General features: G+C 36.1%; 1 protein-coding gene across 30 annotated transcripts in view, besides 1 other annotated feature; it reads left to right on the top strand.

The window, feature by feature from the left end:
- ENOX1 (ecto-NOX disulfide-thiol exchanger 1) overlaps positions 1–12,231 on the top strand; it is a 573,843-nt gene that overhangs the window by 152,895 nt on the left and 408,717 nt on the right. For 9 of the 30 annotated variants that reach the window (XR_007063686.1, NM_001347964.2, XM_024449373.2 and 6 more), the window contains one exon: positions 3,425–3,483. The exons of 17 other annotated variants lie outside the window; for them this stretch is intronic. The gene's annotated coding sequence lies outside the window, so the exon portion shown is untranslated. Of the gene's footprint in view, positions 1–3,424; positions 4,646–12,231 lie in introns of those variants that run through there. 4 more of the 30 variants (XM_047430419.1, XM_047430418.1, NM_001127615.3 and 1 more) reach the window with 2 other exon arrangements.
- Positions 10,317–11,516: an enhancer, noted in NCBI's record as "MED14-independent group 3 enhancer chr13:44196698-44197897 (GRCh37/hg19 assembly coordinates)". NCBI's record gives its function as "activates an origin of replication core promoter dependent on BRD2, BRD4, P300/CBP and CDK7 cofactors, and independent of MED14, by STARR-seq in HCT116 cells {active_cell/tissue: HCT116}" and the evidence as "EXISTENCE:reporter gene assay evidence [ECO:0000049][PMID:35650434]".

Genomic DNA, 12,231 nt, shown 5'->3' with positions numbered 1-12,231 from the left:
AACTTTCTGCCAGTTCAACAGTAAATAAACATACAGACACACAAAGTGGTGATCCAGGTAAAGGTGATATTAATAGTAAGTAGGTGTTGCTTTTAAGTTTTTAAATTTAAAATATACAAATATATTTTAAATTTTCACTTACTCATTATAAGATTACATTTATGTGCAATTTGTATATTTGAAATTAAAACTTTTAAGAGAAATACCTACATAGTACTCAATACTATAGAAATACTTAGATTTAAAAGTTATAAGCTCTTTTTACTCTCTAACCTCACCTCCCCAAAAGTAAATACTACTATCCTTTTTGTTCTTATCCTTCTAAATATATGTATACATATATACACTATCAACCCACCTATCCACACACACACACACACACACACACATACACACATTTTAAAATGTAAATAGCATTATGTTGGTCACATTACTCTGAAACTTGTTTTTTTATATAATAATATATCTTAAAAGATTTTCCCCATATTATTATACATATATCTACTTCATTATTTTTAATAGCTCTACAACATTCCTTGGTATGGATACTTAATAATTTACTTTTATCATTCCCCTACACGTGGACTTATTTGTGGATCCCAATGCGGGATTTTTACAAACAGTGCTGTGGTGAACTACCTTGTATCTTTGTGTACATGTGTAAGAATATCTATGAGACAGATTCCTAGATGGGGAATTATTGGATCAAATGATACTCATATTTTGCATTATGATAGATACTGGCAAATTTCCTCTAAAATAACTCTACCAATTTATTTTCTCATCAATGGTCTATGAAAATGCCTATTTTACCCATATTTATATCAACATTGAACATTATCAACCTTTAAAATGTTTTACTTATTTGATGGCAAATAATTTATAATTCCATGGTTAGTAGTGAGTTTGAATGCCTTTTTACATCTTTACTGCTATAAACATTATATTTGTCATGAAATTGGAATCTAGCTCAAATTGTTGACTCTGAAGTTCATTTAGAAATTTTGAAACTTGAATTGTCAAATCGAAAGTCATTTAGAAGAACAAATAGGGTGAGCTACTTAAAATTTTGAGGAAAAGAAAAAGTAAATGATAGCAGAAGAAAATACTTGTTTTACAAGATATTAAATATATGATACACCTCCAGTGAACAGTCTAAGAAGCAACAGACATCACAGTGGTACAGCTAGCAGGGTATAAAAACCTAATGTATGAAATAATTTAGTATATGATAAAAGTTGAATCAAAACCAATGAAAACTCAAATCTCTCAAAAATGGTATTTTATTACTGTTTAAAATTATAATAAAACAATTAAAATTATAAAAATCAGGCCGGGCACTGTGGTTCACGCCTGTAATCCCAGCACTTTGGGAAGCCGAGGCAGGTGGATCACCTGAGGTCAAGAGTTCGAGACCAACCTACCCAACATGGTGAAACTCCATCTCTACTAAAAATACAAAAAATTAGCTGGACATGGTGGCAGGCGCCTGTAATCCCAGCTAATTGGGAGGCTGAGGCAGGAGAATCGCTTGAACACGGAAGGCAGAGGTTGCAGTGAGCTGAGATCACACCACTGCACTCCAGCCTGGGCAACAAGAGCAAAACTCCATTTAAAAAAAAAATTAAGATTATAATAGAAATACATTATTATAATCTTATAAGGCTATATATATAATACACTAGAAAAAGAAATACATTAAAAAAAGAAAATATAATTGATGAATATATATGATTTTCAGGTTGAGATGATGTCCTAATTTTGAAATTAAAACAAATGCTAAAGTAGACAACATTATATAATGTACTAAATTTAAATATTTCTGAATGGTAAAAAAAAATTCACCATCTATGAGATCAGATGGCAATGAAAAGTGGGAAAAATTATTTTAAACAAATATGACAGACATAGACATAGGGTTAATATAATCAGTACTTAAAGGGCTTTCTCAAATTCAGAAGAAAAAAACCTAACATCTCAATAGAAAATTGATCAAAGGGCATGAATGGATAAAACATTAATCCTTTCCTGCTCAGGCTGCTCCAAGAAGGGCAAACAGCTGATGAATATTGGGTGTTTTAAAGTAGGGTGACAGATGAATGCTTCTTTTGTGTAAAGTTACTGCTGTTTGTCTTGACGGCAATGGAGAACACTCTTGTTTTAAAGAAAAGTGTTCTTTAATAATTTTAGAAGGTAGTATACAACAAGCCACGTTTTTACAATTTAATAACTTTCCAGATTAAGAAAGAAAAGCCTCAGAAATGCCTTAATGACAGCAACATGTGATCAGAGATGAAGCATCACGATCAGATAATGTGGTAAAACAATATAGTGCCTAAATTTTAGCCAAAGAAAAAAGAATAAAAGAAAAAATAATAAAAGCCTACTTGCGTGTAGATATTGTGTTCCCGATTTTGTTTTAAAGATACTGTTTCCTCGTGGTATGGAAACTATTATATTTGTTCTAAAATTAATTAGCAGACAGGGGTTCTTGCAAAAAAAAATTTCTTACCTTTCTACTGACTCAAACTGGCAGAGTACAAACCAGAGGAAACATACAAATCTGACTCAGTTTCCCGATTCCTAGCAGTTCTTCTCGGAGCAGAAGCAGCAAATACACTTTGTGCAAGCTGAAAGAGCCCCAGGCTTACCTGGCCGCACCACTGACAGGAAATAAGAATTCTAAAGAGAACCTCAACAGTGTCTTGCCAGAGGGGTGCAGAATCTGCAATCTCTTTTCAGTGCTGAGGCCAAGAGTGAATTTGGCCCTAACCCAGAACCAGGTTTCCTGCTGTGGGAGGGAGCCTAGTGCAGCTAGTAGCTGCAATTCAGTAATCCAAATTCTAGCAGTCTACCCTGAGGAAAATAAACTCAAAGATTTATGGAAAAGGACATGCATTGCAGTGTTATTAAAAGTGGCAAAAATGTAAAAACTTAAATACCCACAAATAGAAGAATGTTTAAGTTATGGCACCTTCAGAAGGCAGAATATTATTATTGCAGTCATTAAAGACTCATGTTTTTAAAGACCACTTAACCAAATGGGAAAATACATTATGTTAAGTGAATAAAGCAGAGTTCAAAGTGGTATTTACGGTATGAGCCCATCTAATTATATGTATTACATACACACACACACACACAAACACACACACACATATACGCACACGTATGTATGCGTGTATATATATGTGTATATATATGTGTGTGTGTGTGTATATATATATATATGTGTGTGTGTGGTTGTATGTATATATAAATGCCTAGGAAGAGACTAGAATAAAATATTCCAAAAAACATTTTACAGTAATTTATAGCTAGATAGTATTATGTGGAGTTCCATTTTTATGTATTTTTTGTATGAAATATTCTAGTATAAGTAAATATTTTATCAGAAGTATTTACATATCTTTTTTTTTTTTAGTTTGAGAAGTTGCAGTATATCTGTACACACACCCTCTATTCTACATTGAGGCTCACAAGGTAATCCTTTTACTTCATGTGTATATGTTTCTTTGTAGTAAAGGGCAGGAGCTTCAGCTTTTGAAGTAAAACCAACAAAAACCCTTCTGGGGACTGTGTATTAATGGCAATAAGCTTTAATTGAGGGGAGAGTGTTTTAATTGTATTTCTATCTTAAATGATAGGGATTCCTAGTTACTGCTGTCTTATTCTTGGAATACTCTTTTCACACCAGTGTTGAAAGTAGGGTTTAAGGACTACCATACAAACAAGCCCAGAAAATAAAGATGTGGTGTAATCAAGTGTGAGGGACTAAACAGCGAAAGTGGATACTCATCTGGCAAAATTGCTGTTGCTCAACCTTAGTTCTTACACATGCAATGGCTTATTTCCGCCCCTGAAAAGAAGCTGCCTATAAAGGGTGTCCACTTAATGCTTATTTGAATGATAGCAGTCCACCACATTCTCCCAAAATACTGACTAAAACATACAAAAATAAGCATACATGGTGAGAATGGTGGGATTAGGGAATAGTCCCAATAAAATACCTCAAACTTCAGGGAAGTTTTGTTTAATATAATCTGATTTAGAATAAAATAGAAGACACCAGGAACTGGAATAAAAATTCCCTTCTCAGAACTCTGCGTAGTGTTCACTTTTGTTAAGTGGAGGAGGCTTAGAAAAGCTCCACTAATCACCTTCAAATTAGATGAACTAGGGCTAGGTGGGAGGCAGGCAAGTGAAAGGAAGGCATCTACTAGAAGCTCACTCCTGAATACCATTACTTCTTTTCTACCCTGTAAGAAGAATTTTCTATAAAAAAAGTTCTTAAGTTGACTCTAAAATGGCAGATGTGAGGGCAAAAACAGATGGCCAAGAGCAATTTCTGGAATGAAAACCAGTGGTGTAAACCAGTGTTAACTCTGCAGAAATGTAATTGGTTCAACTGAAATGTAAATGTAAATTGATACATGTATGGAAGGCAATTAGGTAACAGCTATGTGAATTAAAAATACAGAATTCCACTTTCGAGTAATTGGAGTGGATGTGATTTTCCTATTCCTCCCACTAAATACAATGAAAACTCCTGGACATTCCATATAGAACAAACACAAGATTCTGAAAGGCAGAGAGGAGGAAGTAGACTGGTTAAGGACATGAGACCCAGAGGAATAACCTGGTGGTAAGTTCCCTGTGTTGTCTTCTTATCTTACATATCCAAGACTTGACACTGAAGAAGCTAGCAAGCTGGGAATACCAATGGGCACAGACAAAAAGCCCCCAGTGAAGCCTACTCTCTCTAGCCAGAAATGTAGAAAAAGGGACATTGCAGCAAGACAGAACACTTTTAGACACTAATCTCTTTGCCAAACAACAGAAATAATTGTGGCCCCACTCTTACCCGTGCCAGGGAAGCCTGAGTGCAGAAGCTAGACTTTCTTTCACTTTCCAGAGGCTATAACTATTCTCCTGTGGGGTAATATCAGAGACAAAGTAGGGAGCGAGGACTTTCATCCCTGCTGGTTGGTAACGACTTGTCCCCTCTCCTCATTCATGCTGCAGTATCAGATGGTAGATTTCCACTTCTACCTAACAAAAATTATGTACCCCTGCCCCTTCTTGCTGGGGCTGTGATATTGGAGACCTAATGGAGACTTGGGACTTTTACCATTGCCTAGTGGTCATGGTGCTACCCTCACATCAGTGTCTGAGGAGGCCACAGAGAGATCTAGAAACCCCAACCATATCCAGCAGTTAAAATAAATTCCCACTTGGGTGTCAGCGAAGGCCAAGTGGGGAACCTGGACCTTTATACCTGGCAATATGAGATGGCATTCTTCCTTCCCCTATGGGAGCAAGGTCAGGAAAAGCCAGTGAAAACAGAAGGTTTAAATAAGGTTCAAGGTCTCAGAGCATAATATAAAAATGTTCAGCTTTCAATTGAAAATCTCTCTTTATACAAAGAACCAGGAGGACCTCAAATTGTATGAAAAGAGACAGTCAATAGCTGCCAACATTGGGATGACTGTCAGAATTATCTGAAAAGGATTTGAAAGCAGCTATGGTAGAAATGCTTAAACTAGCAATTACACTTGAAATAAATGCAAAAATAGAAAGCTCAGCAAAGAAATAGAAAGTCTCACCAAGGAAATATGAAGAGGAACTAAATGAACATTTTACAACTGAGAATACAGAAACTGAAATAAGATGCTCAGCAGATAGACTCAACAGCATAGTGAAGGGGAGAAAGGAAGGCATCAATAACTGGAAGACATAACAATAGAAATTCCAATCTCAATGATGAGAGTAAAGAGAATAATGATAAGCAAATAATGAACAGCACCTCACAGACCTGTGGGATTATAACAAAACATCTAACATTCACGGCATCGAAGTCCCAGAAGGAAGGAGAAAGAGAGCAGTGCTGGAAAAGTACCTGAAGATATAATGGCTGAAAATTTCTCAAATTTGGAAAAGATATAAACCTACAGATTCAAGAAGCTGAGGAAACCCCAAACAGAATAAACACAAAAAAGTTTACACTAAGATGCATTATAATTAAACTTCTGAAAACTATATTCAAGAAAAATTCTTGAAAGTGAGAAAAAAAATGACACAGGAAAAATCAATTAGAAGGACAGCGTGTTTCTCCTGAGAAACAATGAAACCCAGAATAAAGTGGCACAATATTTTTCAAGTGCTGAAAGAAAAATTATCAACTCATAATTCTAAACCCAGTGGAATTATCCTTCAGGAATGAAGGAGAAATAAAGACCATCTCAGGATAAGGAAGACGAAGGGATTTAGTCACCTTAAACCTGCCCTAGAAATGCGATTTGAAAAAGTTCTCTAAATAGAAAAGAAACAATAAAAGAAGGGACTCTGGGAAATTAGAAAGGAAGAAAGAACACAGTAAACAAAAGCATGTGTAAACATGGGTAAACATTAAGCTTTCCTTCTCCTTTTGAATTTAATAAATATATTTGGTAGTTGAAGTAAAAATTATAACCCTGTCTGATGTAGGTTGTAAATAAATGCAGAGGAAATATTTAAGACAACTATATTTTAAGTGGGGGAAGGCAAAGAGACTTCAAAGTAGATAGGGTTTCTATAGTTCACTCAAACTGATAAAATGATACTAATAGACTGTCTGAATTATACATATATATGTAATAACCAGAGCAACCATTAAAATATAAGAAATACATTTAAAACACTATAGGTGAATCAAAATGGAATTCTAAAATGATTAACTTACTTGGAACACAAGAAAAAACAGAGATGAAAAGCAGAACAAAAAAACAAAAGATAACAGACTGAAGCCCTAACATATCAATAATTGCATTAAATGCAGATAGTCTAAAACGATCAAGACGGAGGCTGTCAGGGTGATTAAAAACATGAACCAACTGTATGCTATCTACAAGAAACATCAGATATAATGACATATGCACATTGAAAATAAAAGGGCAGAAAAGATATACAAACATTAATCAATGGAATTCAAGAGTGGCTATGTTAATATCAGATAAAGTAGACTTTAGAACAAAGAAAATTGTCAGAGACAGAGCTGGACATAATATAATGATGCAAAGGTCAATCTACTAGGAAGATATTGCAATTCTAAATGTTAATGCACGAGACAACAGCTACAAAATACGTGAAGTGAAAACTGATAGAATAGAAAGGAGAAACAGGCAAATCTACAATTATATGTGGAGAGTTCAACACCCCTTTCTCAAAAGTTGATAGGACAGTTATACAGAAAATCAGTAAGGATATAGAATATCTCACAAAACCATCAACTAATAGGATCAAATTTACATTTATAAAACAGTCCACCCAATAACAGCAGAATATATATATTTTTTCAAATGCCTGTGGACTATATCCCAAAAAAGATAATAGCTTGAGTGATTTTAAAAACCCTTAATATAAGGCCATTGAAACCGTATAGAGTATGTTCTCTGATCCAAATAAATCAAGCTAGAGATAACAGAAATATAAGAGGACAATTTCCAACACTTTGAAACTAAATAATATACTTTTAGTCAATGCGTGGGTCAGAGTATCGGGGACATAAAAATATATTGAACTAAATGAAAATGGAAACACAACATAAAATTTGTAGGTAGATAAAGCAGTGATGAGAGGGAAATTTATAGGACTAAATTCATACATTAAAAATGAGGAAATAATCTTGAATTAATAATTTATCACCCCAAAAAACTAAAACAAAACAAGTTAAACTTGAAGCAGAAAAAGGGAGATAAAGATAAGAGCAGAAGTCAAAGAAATTGAAAACAGAAAAATAGTAGAGAAAATCAGTGGAATAAAGTGCTCTTTATTTGAAAGATCAATTAGCTTCTAGCAAGACTGACAAAAAAGGGAGGATACATAAATTACTGTATCACCAAATATATTGTATATGTCACTGAAGACCCTGCAGACATCAAAAGGAAATTAAGATAATACTGTGAGCAATTCACTGACATGAATTTGACAACTTAGAAGAAATGGGCCAATTCCTTGAAAAACACAGGCTACCACAACTCACCCAATATTATGTTTGTAATTTGAATAGTACTGTAATTACTAAGGAAATATGATTTATAATTTTAAAACTCCCCCCAAAGAAATATCCAGGCCCTATTTGTTTTACTGGAGAATTCTATCACATGTTTGAAGAATAATTAATACTAATTCTACAGAGTCTCTTCCAGAAAATAGGAAAGGAAGCAACGCTTTCCAATTTATTTTATTAAGCTAGTATTTCCTTGATACTAGAACCAGACAAAAACAGTACAAAAAAGAAAACTGTCTACCAGTATCAATCATAAATAGAGAAGTAAAAATACTTAGCAAATATTAGCAAATAGAATTCAGCAGTATATAAAAGAATTGTTTACCATAACCTAGTGGTATTTATTTTGTAGATGCAATGCTGGTTCAATATTTGAAAATCAATCTATGCAATCCACCACATTAACAGGTTAGAGGAAAGAAGCCACGTGATCATATCGATTGATGCAGAAAAATCATTTGATTAAATTCAACACTTATTTATGATGAAAATTCTTGGAAAAAAAGAAGGAATAGTGGGATTTCTTAAACTCGATATATGACAGTCTACAAAAACAAAAATCCTAGAAATAACATTTTAGTTAAAGGTGAAAGGCTGAATGCTTTCTCTTCAAGATTGAGAACAAGGCAAGGATATTCAATCTCACTACTCTTATTCAACAGAGTGCCAAAAGGCAAGAAAAGGAGCAAAAAGCAATAGACTGAGAAAGAAGAAAAAAAGTTTTTATCTGCAGATGGCATGATTGTGTATATAGAATATATCAAAGAATCTATAAAAAAATCCTGGAGTTAGCTCAGCAAGGTTGCAAGATACAAGCTGAACATATAAAAGCCAGTTGTATTTTGATATACTGGCAATGAACACATTGACACAGAAATTGAAAAATATGATACCATTTACAATTGCTCTAAAAAGAGTTACTTAGGCATAAATATAACAAAACATGTATAAGAAATGCATGCTGAATACTATACAATACTGATGAAAGAAATAAAAAGGATTTAAGTAAACAAAGAGACATACCATGTTTATGGAGTGGAAGATGTCACTTCTCCCCAAGCTGATATGTAGATATTGGTAGCAATTCCTATCAAAATCCCAAGAATATTTTTTGAGGATGTCAACAAAATTATTCTAAGTCCTTTGTGGATTGGCAAAGGAACTGGAATATTTTGAACAATTTTTAAAAAGTGGAAGGACTTAGTCTAGGCAATTTTATGAGATTATGTAGATACAGTAATCAAGACTGTGGTTGGTGATGGATAGAGATATATCACTGTAAGAAAATAGAGAACACAGGTAAAGACCCACACAAATATGAACAGAAGTGCATATTTGCATGATTTTTGACAGAGGTGCAAATTCAATTCACTAGAGACAAGATGCTCTTTAAATAAATGGTTCTGGAGCAATTTGATATCCATGGGCAAAAAAATGAACTTCATTCTCAGTAGCACACCTTATGTAAAAATTCGAAATGGATTATGGACTTAATGTGAATCACAAAACTATAAAACTATTGGAAAAATACGAAAAAATCTTTGGTATCTAAAAATAGAAAAAGTTCTTAGACTTCATATCAAAGCAAGGAAAAATTTCACTTCATTAAAATTAAAAATTTTGCTCTGCAAAAGACCTTGGTGAGTAGATGAAAATATAAGCTATGGATTCGGAGAAAATATTTGCAAAGCAGATATCTGAGAAAGGACTAGTACCCTAGAATATATAAAGAACTCTCAAAAGTCAACAGTAAAAAACAATTCAGTTAAAAAATAGGAAAAAGACACAAAGAAATATTTTACTGAAGAGTATATAGAGATGGCCAATAAGCCTATTAAGAGATGCTGAACATCATTAGTCATTACAAGAATGCAAGTTAAAATCACAATGAGTATCACTATATATGAATCAGAATAAGTAAAATAAAAACTACTGACAACATCAAATGCTAGCAAGATGCAGAGGAACTAAATCCCTACATTGCTGGTGGGAATGTAAAATGGTACAGCCACCCTGAAAAATGATTTGACAGTTTCATAAAGAACTAAACACGCAACTATCATACAGACCAATAATGGCATTCCTGGGCATTTATCTTGGAGAAATGAATACTTACATTTACACAAAAATTTGTACACAAATATTCATAGCAGCTTTATTTACAATACTCAAAAATTGGAAAAAACCCTGATGTCTTTCAATGGGCAAATGGTTAAACAAATTATGATATACACATATCATAGAATAGTGTTCAACAATGAAAAGGAGGAGCGGGATCATCATGGCAGATGGGAGGCAGGACTAGATTGCATCTCTGGACAGAGCAGTGTGCGGGGACTCACACTGTGAATTTTAGCTCCAGATCGACCGCAAGAGCAAACCAGCCATCCCAAGAGGACCCACACACCCTCTGAAGGAAGTGGACCCGGGATACCACCCCGCAAAACTGTTGAGTGCCCCAACCGTGAAAGTGAGACCATCCTCTCCCGAACACACACTCCCACTGGAGAAGCTGAAGGTCTGTTCGTGGAAGAAGTTTCCGAGTTTACCTGGAGCTGAGTCAGTTTGGAGAGCTGAGCAAAATACAGGAGTAGAGGAAACAGTGAGAAGGGCCCTGGGAACTCACTGGGTCCCCTAGCAGGCCATTCCTGCCTGGCACCATGGGGATCCAACAGGAGAGGAGCAGGGGGTAAAACCACACAGGGAGAAGGACATCTCTAGCTGAACTTTGTAACAATTTGAACGGGATGAGAAGCCTCCTGGCCAGAATTCAAAGGAGGGCGCAAATCCGGTGTGCAGACTCCACAGGCAGGCAAAAAACCAAACCCTTTTCTTTCGTAGTTGGAGGCAGGTATCCTGGGGCAGGTTTTCAGACTCGTATTGCTCTCTGCCTGGAAACAGACGTGGGGCTGTTGAGGGGGGCATGGTGGCAGTGAGACTGGCCCTTCGGTTTGTGTGGGAGCTGGGTAAGGCCTGTGACTACTGACTTTCCCCACTTCCGTGACAACCTGCAATGACTCAGCAGAGGCAGCCATAATCCTTCTAGGTAGACAACTCCAGTGACCTGGGAGTCTCACCCCCATCCCTGAAAGTAGCCTCAGCAAGACCCTCCCAAGGAAAGTCTGAGCTCAGACATGCCTAGCCCTGCCCCGACCTAATGGTCCTTCCCTACCCACCCTAGTAGCGGAAGATAAAGGGCATATAATCTTAGGAATTCTAGGACCCCACCCCACCACCCATTCCTTCCCATACTACCACAGCTGACGCTCTCTGGAAAGTGCTACCTCCTGGCAGGAGGCTAACCAGCACAAAAATAGACCATTAAACCACCAAAGCTAAGGACCCTCATGGAGTCCATTGCATCCCTGATCCCCATCCCTGCCACCTCCACCAGAACAGGCACTGGTATCCCAGCTGAGAGACCCATAGATGGTTCACATCACAGGACTCTGTGCAGACAACCCCCATTACCAGCCTGGAGCCAGGTAGACTTGCTGGGTGGCTAGACTCAGAAGACAGACAACAGTTACTGCAGTTTGGCTCACAGGAAGCCACATCCATAGGAAAAGGGGGAGAGTACTACATCAAGGGAACACCACATGAGACAAAAGAATCTGAACAATGGCCTTCAGCCCTAGACCTTCCCTCTGACAGAGCCTACCCAAATGAGAAGGAACCAGAAAAACAACCCTGGTAATATGACAAAACAAGGCTCTTCGACACCCCCCAAAAATATCACACCAGTTCACCAGCAATGGATCCAAACCAAAAAGAAATCCCTGACTTACCTGAAAAAGAATTCAGGAGGTTAGTTATAAAGCTAATTAGGGAGGGACCAGAGAAAGGTGAAGCCCAATGCAAGGAAATCCAAAACATGATAGAAGAAGTGAAGGGAGGAATATTCAAGGAACTAGATAGCTTAAAGGAAAACAAAATCAAAGATTCAGGAAGCTTTGGACACATTTTTGCTCTGGAAAGTCTCAGCAATAGAATTGAACAAGTAGAAGAAAGAAACTCACAGCTCGAAGACAGGGTCTTCGAATTAACCCAATCCAACAAAGACAAAGAAAAAAGAATAAGAAAATAGGAACAGAGCATCCAAGAAGTCTGGGGTTATGTTAAATGACCAAACCTGAGAATAATTGGTCTTCCTGAGGAAGAAGAGAATTCTAAGATCTTGGAAA

The sequence above is a fragment of the Homo sapiens genome, chromosome 13 (assembly GCF_000001405.40).
Source record: "Homo sapiens chromosome 13, GRCh38.p14 Primary Assembly".
Lineage (NCBI taxonomy): Eukaryota > Metazoa > Chordata > Mammalia > Primates > Hominidae > Homo > Homo sapiens.
The sequence above is the reverse complement of the archived record's forward strand: the minus strand, read 5'-3'. Positions and strand labels throughout refer to the sequence as shown.